The sequence below is a fragment of the Homo sapiens genome, chromosome 14, assembly GCF_000001405.40.
Source record: "Homo sapiens chromosome 14, GRCh38.p14 Primary Assembly".
Taxonomy (NCBI): Eukaryota; Metazoa; Chordata; class Mammalia; order Primates; family Hominidae; genus Homo; species Homo sapiens.
This window is the reverse complement of record NC_000014.9, coordinates 75,210,871-75,226,217: the sequence shown is the minus strand read 5'-3', so window position 1 is coordinate 75,226,217 and position 15,347 is coordinate 75,210,871. Positions and strand designations below refer to the sequence as shown.

The window sequence follows — 15,347 nt, the reverse complement described above, 5'->3', positions numbered from 1 at the left end:
CTGGTCAGGCTGGTCTCGAACTCCTGACCTCAGGTGATCCGCCCGCCTCAGCCTCCCAAAGTACTGGGATTACAGGCATGAGCCACTGCAGCTGGCTACTTTTTATTATTTTTATTTTTTGAGATAGATTCTCGCTCTGTCACCCAGGCTGGAGTGCCGTGGAACAAATCCGGCTCACTGCACCTTCTGCCTCCCAGGCTCAAGCAATCCTCCCACCTCAGTCTGCTGAGTAGCTAGGATTACAGGCGTGCACCACACTCCTGGCTAATTTTTTTTGTATTTTTAGTAGAGATAGAGTTTCACCATGTTGGCCAGGCTGGTCTCGAACTCCTAACCTCAGGTGATCCGCCCTCCTCGGCCTCCCAAAGTGCTGGGATTACAGGTGTGAGCCACCATGCCCAGCCCTGTGCGTGTCTTGTTATCATTCTATCCCTAGTGCTTAGCACAGTGCCTAGGCATACCAGATGCTCAAAAATGTTTATTCACTAACAAGTTTCTCCATTTATACCACTCTCAGCAATCTTCAGCAAAATGGTTATTTGTATATACATACTTTTCCCCATCTTGATCATAAGCTGCCTTTTTTTTTTCTTTTTTTTTTGAGACAGGGTCTCACTCTGTTGCCCAGGCTGGAGTGCAGTGGCACATTCTTGGCTCACTGCAGCCTCGACCTCCTGGGCTCAAGCAATCCTCTCACCCTCAGCCTTCTGAGCAGCAGGGACTGCAAGAGCATGCCACTACACCCAGCTAATTTTTTGTATTTTTTGTAAAGACAGGGCTTTGTCATGCTGCCTAGGCTGGTCTCAAACTCCTGAGCTCAAGCAATCCACCCGCCTCAGCCTCCCAAAGTGCTAGGATTACAGGAATAAGCCACCATGCCTAGCCATAGCTGCTTTTTAAATAAAAATTTTAAAATACCTTTTTGTTTTGTTTTGTTTTGTTTTGTTTTGAGCAGGAGTCTTGCTCTGTTGCCCAGGCTGGAGTGCAGTGATGCCATCTCGACTCACTGCAACCTCTGCCTCCCAGGTTCAAGCAATTCTCCTGCCTCAGCCTCCCGAGTAGCTGAGATTACAGGCGCCCGCCACCACGCCTGGCTAATTTTTGTATTTTTAGTAGAGACGAGGTTTCACCATGTTGGCCAGACTGGTCTGGGACTCCTGACCTCAAGTGATCCTCCCGCCTCAGCCTCCGAAAGTGCTGGGATTACAGGTGTGAGTCACCGCACCTGGCCAAAAATACCTTTTTATTATGTACATTTTGAAAGATACACAAAAGTCAAAAAATAATGTAATAACCCCCCTTTTCCATCATGCTACCTCGATAGTCATCAACATTTGGCCAGTTGTATTTCATCTGTCCTCCTTTTTTTTCTGCATTATTTAAAAGTACATCTCAGACATCATGAATCAAACACTTCTTGAGAGCTGATGTGTCTTGTTTATGTTTCTCATGGCCTTTAGCTTAGTATCTGGCCCCAACAGATGAAAATTGTTAACTGAATTAATCAAGGAAAAATGTGATTCATTCATTCAAAAATTCATTCAACAAATACTTATCGAGCAGCCACTATATACCAGACACTCTTCTAGGCATTGGGGATAGATTCTAGTGGAAGGACACAGGAATGAACAAATGAATGAATGAATAAATGACAAAATTTTAATTTTTTTATTTTTTTGAGACAGAGTCTCACTCTGTCACCCAGGCTGGAGTGCAGTGGTGCGATCTCAGCTCACTGCAAACTCCGCCTCCTGAGTTCAAGCAATTCTCCTGCCTCAACCTTCCAAGTAGCTGGGATTACAGGCTTGCACCACCACACTGGCTAATTTTTGTATTTTTAGTAGAGGTAGGGTTTCACCATTTTGCCTAGGCTGCTCTCGAACTCCTGAGCTCAGGCAATCCACTTACCTTGGCCTCCCAAAGTGCTGGGATTATAGGTGTGAGCCACTGCACCCCGCCAAAATGACAAAATTTTAAAGAGCACATTACTGCAGATTACCTGGGGCAAAAAAAAAAAAAAGAAAGAAAGAAAGAAAAAACCCCATAGTGATAAGTGGTATGCAAATAATTAAAACAGGTGAATGTGATAGCAAGTGATTAAGTGGCTACTTAGAACAGGTGGTTAGGGAGAGCCTCTCTGAGAAGGTGACCTTTATACTGCGTCTTGAATGGCAAGAAGGAACCAGCCGTGGGAAACTGAGTGAGAAAAGCAGTCCAGATGGAAAGAATAGCAACTGCAGTGTCCCTAAGGCAGAGCCAGCTTGACTGTTTGAGGAACAGAGAGAAAGGCAGTGTGGCTAGAGTGTGGGGGTGGGGGAAGTGGCAGGAGTGAGGTCTGAGAAGCAAGCAGAGGCCACATCCTGTAGGGATTAAGGGTTTTGTTGAAGGTTTGTCTGGAATCCATTGGAGGCTTTGCAGGGGAGTGATACAATCTGTTTAAAAGATCATTTTGCAGGCCACGTGCGGTGGCACATGCCTGCAATCCCAGCATTTTGGGAGGCTGAGGCAGGTGGATCCCTTGAGTTCAGGAGTTTGAGATCAGCCTGGCCAACACGGTGAAACCTCATCTCTACTAAAAATACAAAAATTAGCCAGGTGTGGTGGCACGTGCCTGTAATCCCAGCTAGTCAGGAGACTGAGGCAGGAGAATCACTTGAGCCTGGGAGGTAGAGGTTGTAGTGAGTAGAGATCGTGCCACCACACTCCAGCTTGGATGACAGAGTGAGACTCCATCTCAAAAGAAAAAAAAAATCATTTTGCAGCCTGTGCAATATATCAGACCCTGTATCTACAAAAAAAACAAAATAAAAAATTAGCTGGGGCCAGGCGCAGTGGCTCACGCCTGTAATCCCAGCACTTTGGGAGGCCGAGTGGGCGGATCACAAGGTCGATTTCATCCTGGCCAATATGGTGAAACCCTGTCTCTACTAAAAATACAAAAATAAAAATTAGCTGGGTGTGGTGGCGCACACCTGTAGTCCTAGCTACTCAGGAGGCTGAGGCAGGAGAATCGCTTAATCCTGGCAGGTGGAGGTTGCAGTGAGTAGAGATCATGCCATTGCACTCCAGCCTGGGTGACAGAGCGAGACTCTGTCTCAAAAAAAAAAAAAAAAATTAGCTGGGCACATGCCTGTCGTCCCACCTACTTGCAAGACTGAGGCAGGAGGATCACTTGAGCCCAAAAGGTCAAGGTTGCAATGAGCTGTGATCACACCACTGCACTCCAGCCTGGACGACAGCAAGACTCAGTGTCAAAAAAATTTAATAAATAAAAATACTTTTTAAAAAATAAAAGATCATTTTGGCTGTGGTGTGGAAAATAAGGCATGTGGTGGCAGGAAGACCAATGAAAAGGCAATTGCAAAAGTTTAGGAAAGAATGATGGTGTTTTAGGCCAGGTAGGAGCAGCAAAGATGGAGAGAAATGGAAGACACAGGAGATGTGTTGGAGGCAGAGTGGATGGGTCTTGCTGACGGATTCGATGTGGAGCTGAGGGAAAGAGTCAAGGATGATTCCTGAGAGAAGGAAGGCCACTCTTACAGACTAAGGGGCACCAGTGACGGGGAGGAGGCAGTCGGGGGTTCCAGCTAGTGAACAGCAGTGTGGGCATACATGACACCAGGTGGAGTCAGCCAAGCTCACACAGTTTTACTTCAGAAGCTTCAGCACCAGCCTCAGGTTCCTCGTCTGTAAAATGGCCATGACAATAACATCCTGAGCATTTCATTTCAAAGTTAAATGAGAAGGTGCATGAAGGGTCAGTGGTGAGCTAATGCATAGTGAATGTCCTTACCCATTTCCTCTTCCTAGAATGCACCCTCCCACCATAAGCTTCGGTCTGCGTCTGCGGAGCCGTCCTGGGGAGTGAGTGTACTTCCCTTGCTCGTCGGGGAGTGTCATACTCCCCAGGGAGAACCCGATTGACCCACTCACTGGTTGGGTAATTCTTGTACTTTTGGTACTCCCCGCAGGTGGGGCTGGGACAATAGGGAAATCGTTGCCCCAGGGCTAAGGTTTTTTTAGGGGATGAGTGAGACCCAGGATTCTTGGGGTCCTGGACTTCCCCAAAAAAGGGTAAGAATGAGAAGGGAGCAGGAAGAGTAGGAGGCTGTGGGTGCTGCTCCTCTGTTTATGTGGGATCCAGGGAGGCAGGACCCCCAGAGACTGGGGGCTCTCTGCTCATGGCTCCTCCCCTGGTCCAGTGATTCAATGAACAGACAGGGCCCCAGGAACTTGCCTTGGCTTGTACTTGGGGAAATGCTTCCGGATCTCCTATAACTAGAGTCAGAGAGCAGGGGCCAGGCCACCTAAAAGTGGCTCTCCCCACTGTCTCCCTCCTGGCTCCCCAGACAGCACAAGTGCTAACATTTTTAAAAGTTATATATGTATACGTATGTGTATATGTATGTATATATACACACGTATGTCATATTTTGTAAGTATGTATATGTATAGAAAGACTAAAAAACAGACATTACAATGTTAAAGGTAGATTTTCTCTAGGTGGCAGAATTGTGAATTATATTTATCTGTGATTTTTCTGTATTTTCTGCAATGTGTTTTTTCCCAAAAGGGCAAAATATTACAACTAAAGAACTTCTAAAATATCTTTCTTTCAAAGTGCTCAAAATCTTCCATGATTCTGATCTCTCCCTGAAACCCTCAGCATGGGGAGAATTTGTATAAGAGTGATAGTAAAGATCATTCTTTTTTTTTTTTTTTTTTGAGACCGAGTCTCGCTCTGTCACCCAGGATGGAATGCAGTGGCACGATATCGGCTCACTGCAACCTCTGCCTCCCGGGTTCAAGTGATTCTCCTGCCTCAGCCTCCTGAGTAGCTGGGACTGCAGGTGTGTGCCACCACCATGCCCAGCTAATTTTTGTATTTTTAGTAGAGATGAGGTTTCACCATGTTGGCCAGGATGGTCTCAATCTCCTGACCTCGTGATCCACCCGCCTTGGCCTCCCAAAGTGCTGGGATTACAGGCATGAGCCACCACGCCCAGCCTACTCTTTGTATTTTTAGTAGAGACAGGGTTTCACCATGTTGGCCAGGATGATCTCGATATATTGACCTCGTGATCCGCCCGCTCGGCCTCCCAAAGTGCTAGGATTACAAGCGTGAGCCACCACACCCGGCCACTTTGCAGTTTTTCTAAATTAAATTAATTTTTTTAACAAGCAGATTGCTTTTTAAGATAAGGAAAGTTAACAAGGATTCTAATCTGCTTTTGAGTTACATTTACATTTTCTGGGCGGGCACGGTGGCTGACGCCTATAATCCCAGCACTTTGGGAGGCCAAGGCTGGCAGATCACGAGGTCAGGAGTTCGAGACAAGCCTGGCAACATGGTGAAACCCCATCTGTACTAAAAATACAAAAATTAGCCGGGCAAGGTGGTGGGTGCCTGTAATCCCAGCTACTCGGGAGGCCGAGGCAGGAGAATTACTTGAACCTGGGAGGCGGAGGTTGCAGTGAATGGAGATGACACCACTGCACTCCAGCCTGGGTGACAAGAGCAAGACTCCGTCTCAAAAAACAATAATAATAAAATAAAATAAATTACATTTTCTTAGTTGCTGGACTTAATCTCAGGCATTCTCCTTCCTTTGTTTCACTAATTGCTCTGCTGGTGCACCTGCCCACGTGGCACACCACTTCCATCTCGCACGGCTGCTGCCAGCTCGGTGCACTTCCTAAAATGTCTCACCAGGGAAGAAAGACATCCTGCGGCCCATCCTGGGGCTCATTCACAACAGATCCTACAGCCCCGAAATAAACAGCCAGGGTGTTTCCTCTTCCTAAAGGGGAAGCAGAAGCTCCTGGTGAGCAGAGGGAAGGGTGAGCCCTGTCTAGACCACCATCCCGGGGGAATTCTGTCCACACAGTTCCCCATGGAAATCCCCAAGGCCTAGAGCAGCTCTGCTGACTCAGGCCATTCTAATTGTGTCTCGGAAGCCGGCCAACCTTCCCTCTCCAGCACCCTCCATCCCATACCTCCTGAGGAAGGCAAAAGATCCCAGAGGCACCTACCTGCGTGCAGGGTGAGCTTCCAAAAGAGAGTCTGCTTAGGTAAGGTAATGGTTCCAATTAGAGTTTCCTTGATTGATTGGGCTTTCATGTCTCACCTTGAGCACTGCCTGGAGATAATCCTCTGCTCCCATCTCTGGGAACTTCCCTGGCTGGGGTATGGCCCAAAGGGACTCCGAGAGTAGCCGCATTTTACCGGTGCACGTAAATTGCTCCATGTTCATTTCTGAGTAAAAGAATCAAGTGCAGTGCATGGGCAATTTACCCCTCAGGTTATATTTGGCAATGTCTAGTGACATCTTGGGTCATCACAACTGTGTGCTACTAGCATCCAGTAAACATCCTCCAATGCTCAGGATAGCACACAGCTCCTCCTGACCCTACCAAATAATTAACCAGCCCTAAATGCCAATAATGCAGAGATTGGGAAACCCTGGTCTAAGGTGTGCCCTGTACTTAATAGATGCAAAGAAAGGGGGCACTAGGGAATCCCAAGACTTGGGGATATCTGGAAGATCCACTGGGAGAAGGATTTTCCTAAAGAATATGAGCAATGTTTCCAAACTGCTGGCTCCTACCAAAAACATGGTATATTTCTATTTCTTTTTTTTTTTCTTTTTTGAGACGGAGTCTTGCTCTGTCACCCAGGCTAGAGTGCAGTGGCACGATCTCAGCTCACTGCAACTTCCGACTCTCTGGTTCAAGAGATTGTCCTGCCTCAGCCTCCCGAGTAGTTGGGATTACAGGCACGTGCCACCACACCCAGCTAATTTTTGTATTTTTAGTAGAGACAGGGTTTCACCATGTTGGCCAGGATAGTCTCGATCTCCTGACCTCGTGATCTGCCCACCTTGGCCTCCCAAAGTGCTGGGATTACAGGCGTGAGCCACCGTGCCCAGCCTACTTCAAAAAGACTTTTAAAAGCTATTATGCTATAGGTAGTTTTTTTTTTTTTTTTTTTTTAGTTTAGAGGCAGGGTCTCTCTCACTCTGTCGTCCAGGCTGGAGTGCAGTGAAATGATCATGGCTTACTGCAGCCTCAACCTTCTAGGCTCAAGCTATCCTCTGGCCTCTACCTCCTGAGTAGCTTGGACTACAGGCACGCACCATCACATCACGCTAATTTTCTATTTTTTATAGAGATGGGGTCTCACTATGTTGCCCAGGCTGGGTTCAAGCAATCCTCCTCCTGCCCAGCCTCCCAGAGTGCTGGGATTACAGGCATGAGCTGCTGTGCCTGGCCACAAGTACTTTTTTTTTTTTTTTTTTTAGACAGAGTCTCACTCTGTAGCCCTGGCTGGAGTGCATTGGCGTGCTCTGGGCTCATTGCAGCCTCCACCTCCAGGGTTCAAGTGATTCTCCTGCCTCATCCTCCTGAATAGCTGAGACTGCAGGCGCTCACTGCCGCACCCAGCTAATTTTCGTATTTTTAGTGGAGACAGGGTTTCACCATGTTGGCCAGGCTGGTCTCAAACTCCTGACCTCAAGTGATCTGCCCACCTCAGCCTCCCAGAGTGCTGGGATTACAGGTGTGAGCCACCGTTCCAGCCACTTTTCGTATTTTTAAGGAAAAAAAAAAAGCATATGGGAAAGGATAGGGGATGGAAGGAGAAAAATCTGGATTCTGGCCACTAGCTTTGCTCTGATTCCGAGCACTTGGTAATTAGACATAGACTCTTCTGTCAGGAATCTGGCAAATAAAACAAAAGAATAGGATCCATATTTGTTATGTTAACCCTTGTAATTGTCTGGAAGCTTGACCATGCCTGAAAGTATATCAACACAAGACAAAGTGAACTAAAAATTTAATAACATTCTGGTTCATTTAACTAACAGGTGGTCAAATGTCTATAGTTGAAGTTGCATCCATGAACATTTGAATTAACTATGGCTGCAGTGATAACACTTGCCAGGTCTTTGCTTTACTTCTCCCTGCAAATCCTGGGTATTTACTTGGGTATCTTGAGCCTCTGGTAAAATGCTATTGCATGTCCTCCTCCTTTGACTCTCTTCCCAAGAGCTGCTTTGATTCGACAAGCCTCCACTGAGCCCTTCAAATGTGCCCTGCAGTGTAGTAGTTGCTGTGGATACACTCATAGTACGTGGATGCTAATTTGGGATTAGTATGGCATTTTGAGACAGAAGGCTTGAAAAAAATGGTACTGCCTCTAATGGAAGAGGACACTAAGTGAGTGAGTGGGAGCTGGGTTGGTCTGGAAGACAATGACTCAGGACATGAGGTGATCAGGGCATCCCAGTGGAAAATGTTTATGAAGTTGTTGGAGCTGAAGGGTTGGATCTTAGGTGAGAATATGAGCTCAAGAACTAAATGTGGAAGTCTTCCATGTAAAGGTGAGTCCACTGAGAAGGGCAGAAAATAGAACAGAAGCCCACCGGCTAAACCTTGAGGTGCAATTCAGAGATGAAAGGTAGGAGGAGGCTAAGAAAGCAGCCAAGGAGATGAGTAAGAACAACTGGAGAAATAGGAAGAAAGCCAGGAGAGCTCAGCACTATTGCAGTTTAGAGTGAAGTGTGTTTTGCTCTGCTTTTTTGTTGTTGCTGTTTTAATTTTTATTTTATTTTATTTTATGAGACAGGGTCTCCTTATGTTGACCAGGCTGGTCTTCAACCCATCAGCTCAAACGATCCTCCTGCCTCAGCCTCCCAAGTAGCTGACATTCCAGACATATGCCGCCATACCAGCTTTGTTGGATTTTTGTTTTTGTTGTTGTTGTTTGGTTTTTGAGACAGGGTTTCACTCTGTCCCCTAGACTGGAGTGCAGTGGCACAATCATGGCTCACTGCAGCCTCCACCTCCCAGGCTCAAGTGGTCTTCCCACCTCAGCCTCCCAAGTGGCTGGGACTACAGGCAAGCACCATCACACCAAGCTAATTTTTAAATTTTTTGTGGAGATGGGGGTCTCTTTATGTTGCCCAGGCTAGGGTTTTATTTTTATTTTTATTTTTAGATGGAGTCTCGCTCTGTCACCAGGCTGGAGTGCAGTGGCACGACCGTGGCTCACTGCAACCTCCACCTCCCAGGTTCAAGCAATTCTCCTGCCTCAGCCTCCTGAGTAGCTGGGATTACAGGCACATGCCACCACACCAGCTAATTTTTGTATTTTTAATAGAGATGGGGTTTCACCATGTTGGCCAGGATGGTCTCCATCTCCTGACCTTGTGATGCTCCTGCCTCAGCTGCTCAAAGTGCTGAGACTACAGGTGTGAGCCACTGCACCCAGCTAGGTTTTATTTTTTAAAGGGACAATAAAAAGGTTTCAAAGCTTCATAGCATGAACACTGAGAAAAGGCCTCTAGGGTGTAAGATGACCAACGTCCTAGTTTGCCCAATATTGTCCCAGTTTTAGCACTGCCAAGTCCCACATCCCAGGAAATATCTTAGTCCCGGGCAAACAGGACCGTTAGGATGTGCAGAGCCTTACACTAAGATACTAAGTTGGGCAACCAGGAATGTCAATATATACCCTCTAAAAGACCACATTAAAAAAAAATCAGATCCTGCATTTGCCACATCCTCTGGGCATGACCTTGGCCCGGACACAGGCCAGGGTTAATAAACTGTACTCACTGGATCCAGTCTTTGAAAACCTTTGATCGCTTTTGAGGTTTTTGGCCTGGAAGCATTTCCTATCATAAAATTTAGTTAAGTCAAACTCTTATTTGGTTCAAGTGCTCTTTCTCTGCATTGCCTTCACCCAAGCGATTGCTTTTACTGGAAACTCAGGGGTCAAGATAGAGCTGACGGCTTTCAGAAAAGAGAGTAAGCCTCAAAACTGATGCACCTGATAGAAAGAGTAAAGAAAATTAGTTCACTCCATCAAAGCTGGAGATCCAATTTTAAGGAAACTGCAACAGACATGGGGAGCTACAAGGTATATCTCTGGCAACCTCCAGGGCCTGTGGCTTTTCTGAAGACCCAAGGTATTGTGTTTTAGTTAGCAGTTATCACAAGGCTCTTTTTCCAATAGTATCTCGTGGTGCTTGGAAGTCGGAGGAAACTGAACGGCTTGCATGGTTTTGGTTTTTGTTTTTTACATGCCTTTGGTTCTGCCCATTTCCTCTAAGCTGGAGGCCAAAAACTGGCAGCTTGGATGGACCAATTCAGCCCGCAAGTGTGTTTTGTTTGGCCTACATGTTGTTGTTTTTTAAATTTTGAATTAGTTGCCAACATTTAAAAATCAGTAGATTTCACACACAAAAATCCAGATTTCCTGCTTTTCTTGAAAAATTGGAAGATATGAAGACAAGGGGGCTGCAGGTTCACGTGGCAACAATAGACAGGACCTGAGCAGCAAGACCCCCTTTGAATGAGGCCTGGGTGCCTCCCTGAGCTTCAGCCCCACCTAGCTCTCTACTTTCCTTTCCTTTACCTACCGGGCCTATTCCTAAGACTCCACAGAGAATGAGGCTTCCAAAATACCTCAGTCATTGGTTCTGAACCACTTGCCTTGACCTATTTCCTGCCCTACATCCCAACATGTTCCCAAGCCTTGGAGGTTCCGACGTCATGACTGCTTTCTTGTTTGTGGATTCAACTCATCCTCCTGGACCGACACCTGGTACCATTCCCTCCCACCACCACCACCAGGTTACCTGTGCTCCCTGCCCACCCTGCCCCTGCCCCGCCAAACCAGGAAGACACACCCATGCTCCGGGCTGCTGGAAGCCACAAAAACCAAACCACAGGCCCCTCCACTTGGTCTGCTCTCACTTTATATCTGTCCCCGATCTTTTTTCCCACTCCCCACTTCTTTCAGGTCCCACCTGGTTGCTGACCCTTCAACTTTCTCTTTTGTTTCCATCCTTGAAATCATCCCTTGGACTTCACCACAGAGTTCAGCTCTTCTTGCTGTGACGCTTGGCCTCTCTCAAGATGGAGTTTAAACTTTGCTTATGCTTCTACTTACAAAATCTTCAACTCAACCCAGCTCCGGGCATTGGAAATGTATTAGCCAGAGTACTGCTAGCTGCTATAACAAACGCATCCCTAAAAAAATGATAATAGGCCAGGCGTGGTGGTTCATGCCTGTAATCCCAGCACTTTGGAAGGCCGAGGCGAGTGGATCACCTGAGCTCAGGAGTTTGAGACCAGCCTGGGCAACATGGTGAAACCCAATCTCTACAAGAAATACAAAAATTAGCTGGGTGCAGTGGCATGCACCTGTAGTCCCAGCTGCTGGGAGGCTGAGGCAAGAGAACTGCTTAAGCCCAGGAGGTGGAGGTTGCAGTGAGCCAAGAACATGCCACTGCACTCCAGCCTGGGAGTGAGACCCTGTCTCAAAAAATAAACAAATAAATAAATAACTGTTAAAATGATAATCACAATAATATCCACTTTGGCCTTAACTAGAGCATGGCAGAAACAACAAAAGGCGGTTAATGTGGTATGAACTAAGTTCCTGTGTCAGGTTGCCGGCACATTATCTTTGTTCCTTTAATGAGAAGGACTTCGCTTGCAGATATGGCTCATGACTAACTTAAGTGGTCCGATCTTTGGGCAATTGCCCTTACTTTGTGTGCTTCTTGGTCCAGTAATGGAATCCACGAGCAGTAGGTAATTGTAGCAGCCTCAACTATCAAATAATATTAGAAGTCAACAGCTATAATCTGAAAAAAAAAATTCCCAACATTTCAGCAGCTTAACATAATGAAAGTTTGTTTCTCACTTACATAACAGTCAAATGTAAGTTGTCCTGGTCCTAGCCTTTTTCCACCTGTGGCTCAGCCATCTTCCAGGGCCTCAGAATCTTCTTTATCCAGCTGGTGGGGAGCAAAAAGGAGAGAGTGGCAAAGGAATCCCCACTTTTTAACTGCCTCTTGGAAGTGATACACATCATTTCTACTCATATTCCATTGGTGAGAGCTAATCATGGATCCCCACCTAAATGCAAGAGGAGATGGGGAATATAGTCTGTGGTGAGGTGCCACCCCCAGTGACAATGACATGCAATGGTAGTAAGGGCTTCAATTTTGGGTGGACAGCTGGCTATCTCTGTCACAGCACCAAGTCCAAGCAGAGGCCCACATTGCTGGTTCCCTGGATGAGCAATGCAAACGTTTTGCCACTGTGAAGTAACCGTGGAAGTGCGTATCCTATTTCCCATTAGGGATGAGAAAGAAACTGCACATTTTCCTCCAGGATTATAGTAGCAGTCAGAACTCTCTATGGTAACTGATAGAAACCCAAATCAGCCTAAGAAAAAGGGCACATAGGTCAGGCACAGTGGCTCATGCCTGTAATCCCAGAACTTTGGGAGGCCGAGGTGGGCAGATCACTTGAGGCCAGCAGTTCGAGACCAGCCTGGCCAACATTGCAAAACCCCATCTCCACTAAAAATACAATAAAAAATTAGCAGGGTGTGGTGAAGCATGCCCGTAATCTCAGCTACTAGGGAGGCTGAGGCACGAGAATTCCTTGAACCCAGGAGGCGGAGGTTACAGTGAGTCAAGATCATGCCACTGCACTCCAACCTGGGTGACAGAGCCAGACCCTGTCTCAAAAAACAAAACAAAAAAAAAAGAAAAAAAAGAAAAGAAAAAGGGCACATGTTGGCTGTCATAATTGGGAAGTCCAGGGGGTTGAGTTAGTCTAAAGTACAATTGCATCCAGGCACTCAAACATGAATATTAGTTATTTCTTCCTCTCTCCGTTTCCATGTCCTGGCTGAGTCCCCTCTTTTCTCCTGTAGATATTCTCCACGTGGCAGGGAAGGTGGCTGACAGCTGCCCTTGACTCACATCCTCCCAATCCCATGTTCTAAAAGGCAAAAGCCCTTCTCCTCTAGCCCCAAGTTTTAAAACCACAGAGAAGTCTGTGATTGGCCTGGCAGGGGTCACTGGTCTACCAGGGAGACGAGTGAACTAAGAGTTCCTTTCCCACCACATTGAAGTGGGGTAAGAGCAGCTTCCTCAAGAAAGCAGGTACTGTAGGACAGACAAAGCAATAAATGCCTGCCACAAACACGATGTAGACTCTGCTTTGACCACACAGTCTCTGACCATACCTCTGTGGCCAGCCCAGACTCTGAGCCTCAGTGCAGGTCCTGGGGAGCTGCCTCCTGAGACCAGAGCACACCCACTGTGCACTGTTTTAGTTAAGGTTATAGTTTCTACAAGAGTTAATAAGGTCTTCACGACTTTCTATGAATTCACCGGAAGGAACTGGAAAAGGGCTATTGGTAAGTTTTTACAAGATTTGAAGAAAAAGTTCCATCAAAGGGGTATAATTGCATAATGAATATCATTGGAAAATGCATGCTTTTTAGGCAGGAATTTACTTCAAACGTTGACTTACCTCATTTACTCATCCATCCAACAAATAATTATTAAGCACCTGTAATGAGCCTCGTTTGGAGTCAGGTGCTGGACATGCAATGATGGGTAAGTTCAAGTCCGTGGTCTCACCAGACTTAATGTCTCTAGTATATAAGAATACAGAGAAATACAGTTGAGGCAAAATGTGATGCCATGACCAAGTGTTTAAGATAATATTGTTACATAAACAAACAAACATACAAAGACATTTCTTCCAAGCATGGAAGAAGTTCCTGATATCCTCAAGAAAGAAAAATAGGAATCAGGAACCAATGGCAGCCAGGCTGTCTTGGAATTCATGATATATGGCAAAGCACTTCTGGAGTGTTGGTGCCACTGGTATGCCACATTGCCAGGTACATTCTTGGGACCAGCCACAATCTGATCCCTTCCTTGATTGCTACTTAGGTTTGGATAGAGAATCTTTTCCATGAATACACATTTCCAACCTATTGTTAAATCAATGGCAATTGTTTTATATTTATAAAAACTTGTTTTATATTTATGGAATACTATTATCCAAGATGAAGAAAATCTATACAGCTATCTACCTCTTAATTTTTTTAGTATTTTTTTTTCTTTTTTTTTGAGACAGATTCTTGCTCTGTCCCCCAGGCTGGAGTGCAATGGCGTGATCTCAGCTCACTGCAACCTCTGCCTCCTGGGTTCAAGTGATTCTCCTGCCTCAGCCTCCTGAGTAGCCGGGACTACAGGTGCCTGCCACTACACCCAGCTAATTTTTGTATTTTTAGTAGAGAAGGGGTTTCTCCATGTTGGCCAGGCTGGTCTTGAACTCCTGACCTCAAGTGATCCACCCACCTCAGGCTTCCAAAGTGCTGGGATTACAGGCATGAGCCACTGGGCCCAGCCCAGTAAATTTTTTATTTTGAAATAATTTTAGATTTACAGAGAAATTGCAAAGGTAACACAGAGAGTTCCCATATACCCTTTATCCAGTTTCTCCTGCATTCTTACATTACCATGGTACATTTGTCAAAACTCAGAAACCCACACTGGTACATTACTAGGAACTAAACTCCCTGCTTTATTCTGATTTCACCGGTTTTTCTTCTAATGTTTTTTTCCCTGTTCCAGGATCCAACCCTGGATATGACATTGCATTTTTTTTTTTTTTTTTTTTTTTTTTTTGAGACGGAGTCTCGCTCTGTCGCCCAGGCCGGACTGCGGACTGCAGTGGCGCAATCTCGGCTCACTGCAAGCTCCGCTTCCCGGGTTCACGCCATTCTCCTGCCTCAGCCTCCCGAGTAGCTGGGACTACAGGCGCCCGCCACCGCGCCCGGCTAATTTTTTTTTGTATTTTTAGTAGAGACGGGGTTTCACCTTGTTAGCCAGGATGGTCTCGATCTCCTGACCTCATGATCCACCCGCCTTGGCCTCCCAAAGTGCTGGGATTACAGGCGTGAGCCACCGCGCCCGGCCATGACATTGCATTTAATAGCTCTTGATTTTTGAAGATCATTATTCTTCAGGCATGAGTCAATGCTTCTTCTTTTCCTCCTTGCTGCCAATGTTTTAGATATTTCATGGTTCATTAGTACCTCCACCAGAGTGTGAGCAAGGGAAGGAAACCGTTTTGAAATGCAAATCAGCCAAATGTTGTTATTTATTCATTTGTGGCAGTTAGCTCGGTTACTAATAAGGCCAAGGTTACTGGCTTCACCTCTGTAAATGAGTCAGCTGCCTTAGCAATGACGGGGGAGCTGTTGTCCAGTGGCCATTATTTGCACCCCAAACCCTGTTAAGCTTCTCTTAAATGCAAACTTTTCACCACTGTGAGGTAATGGAGGTAATGGTGGGAGTGTGTATCCAATTACCTTGCTACTCCAGGTGTGACTCATGAACCAGCAGCATCAACATCATCTGGACGTTTTTAGAAATGCAGACGCTCAGGTGCTACCCAGATCCAAGAAGGAATCTGCACTTTAACAAGATACCCAAGTAATTAAGAACCATGGCCAGGCG

The 15,347-nt window shown here is 46.1% G+C and overlaps 3 annotated features.

Annotated features, from left to right (window-relative positions):
• Positions 2,701-3,598: an enhancer, noted in NCBI's record as "H3K27ac hESC enhancer chr14:75689323-75690220 (GRCh37/hg19 assembly coordinates)". NCBI's record gives its function as "activates a minimal SCP1, AML or CMV promoter by ChIP-STARR-seq in primed H9 embryonic stem cells {active_cell/tissue: H9 hESC(primed)}" and the evidence as "EXISTENCE:reporter gene assay evidence [ECO:0000049][PMID:30033119]".
• Positions 3,599-4,495: an enhancer, noted in NCBI's record as "H3K27ac-H3K4me1 hESC enhancer chr14:75688426-75689322 (GRCh37/hg19 assembly coordinates)". NCBI's record gives its function as "activates a minimal SCP1, AML or CMV promoter by ChIP-STARR-seq in primed H9 embryonic stem cells {active_cell/tissue: H9 hESC(primed)}" and the evidence as "EXISTENCE:reporter gene assay evidence [ECO:0000049][PMID:30033119]".
• Positions 4,496-5,393: an enhancer, noted in NCBI's record as "H3K4me1 hESC enhancer chr14:75687528-75688425 (GRCh37/hg19 assembly coordinates)". NCBI's record gives its function as "activates a minimal SCP1, AML or CMV promoter by ChIP-STARR-seq in primed H9 embryonic stem cells {active_cell/tissue: H9 hESC(primed)}" and the evidence as "EXISTENCE:reporter gene assay evidence [ECO:0000049][PMID:30033119]".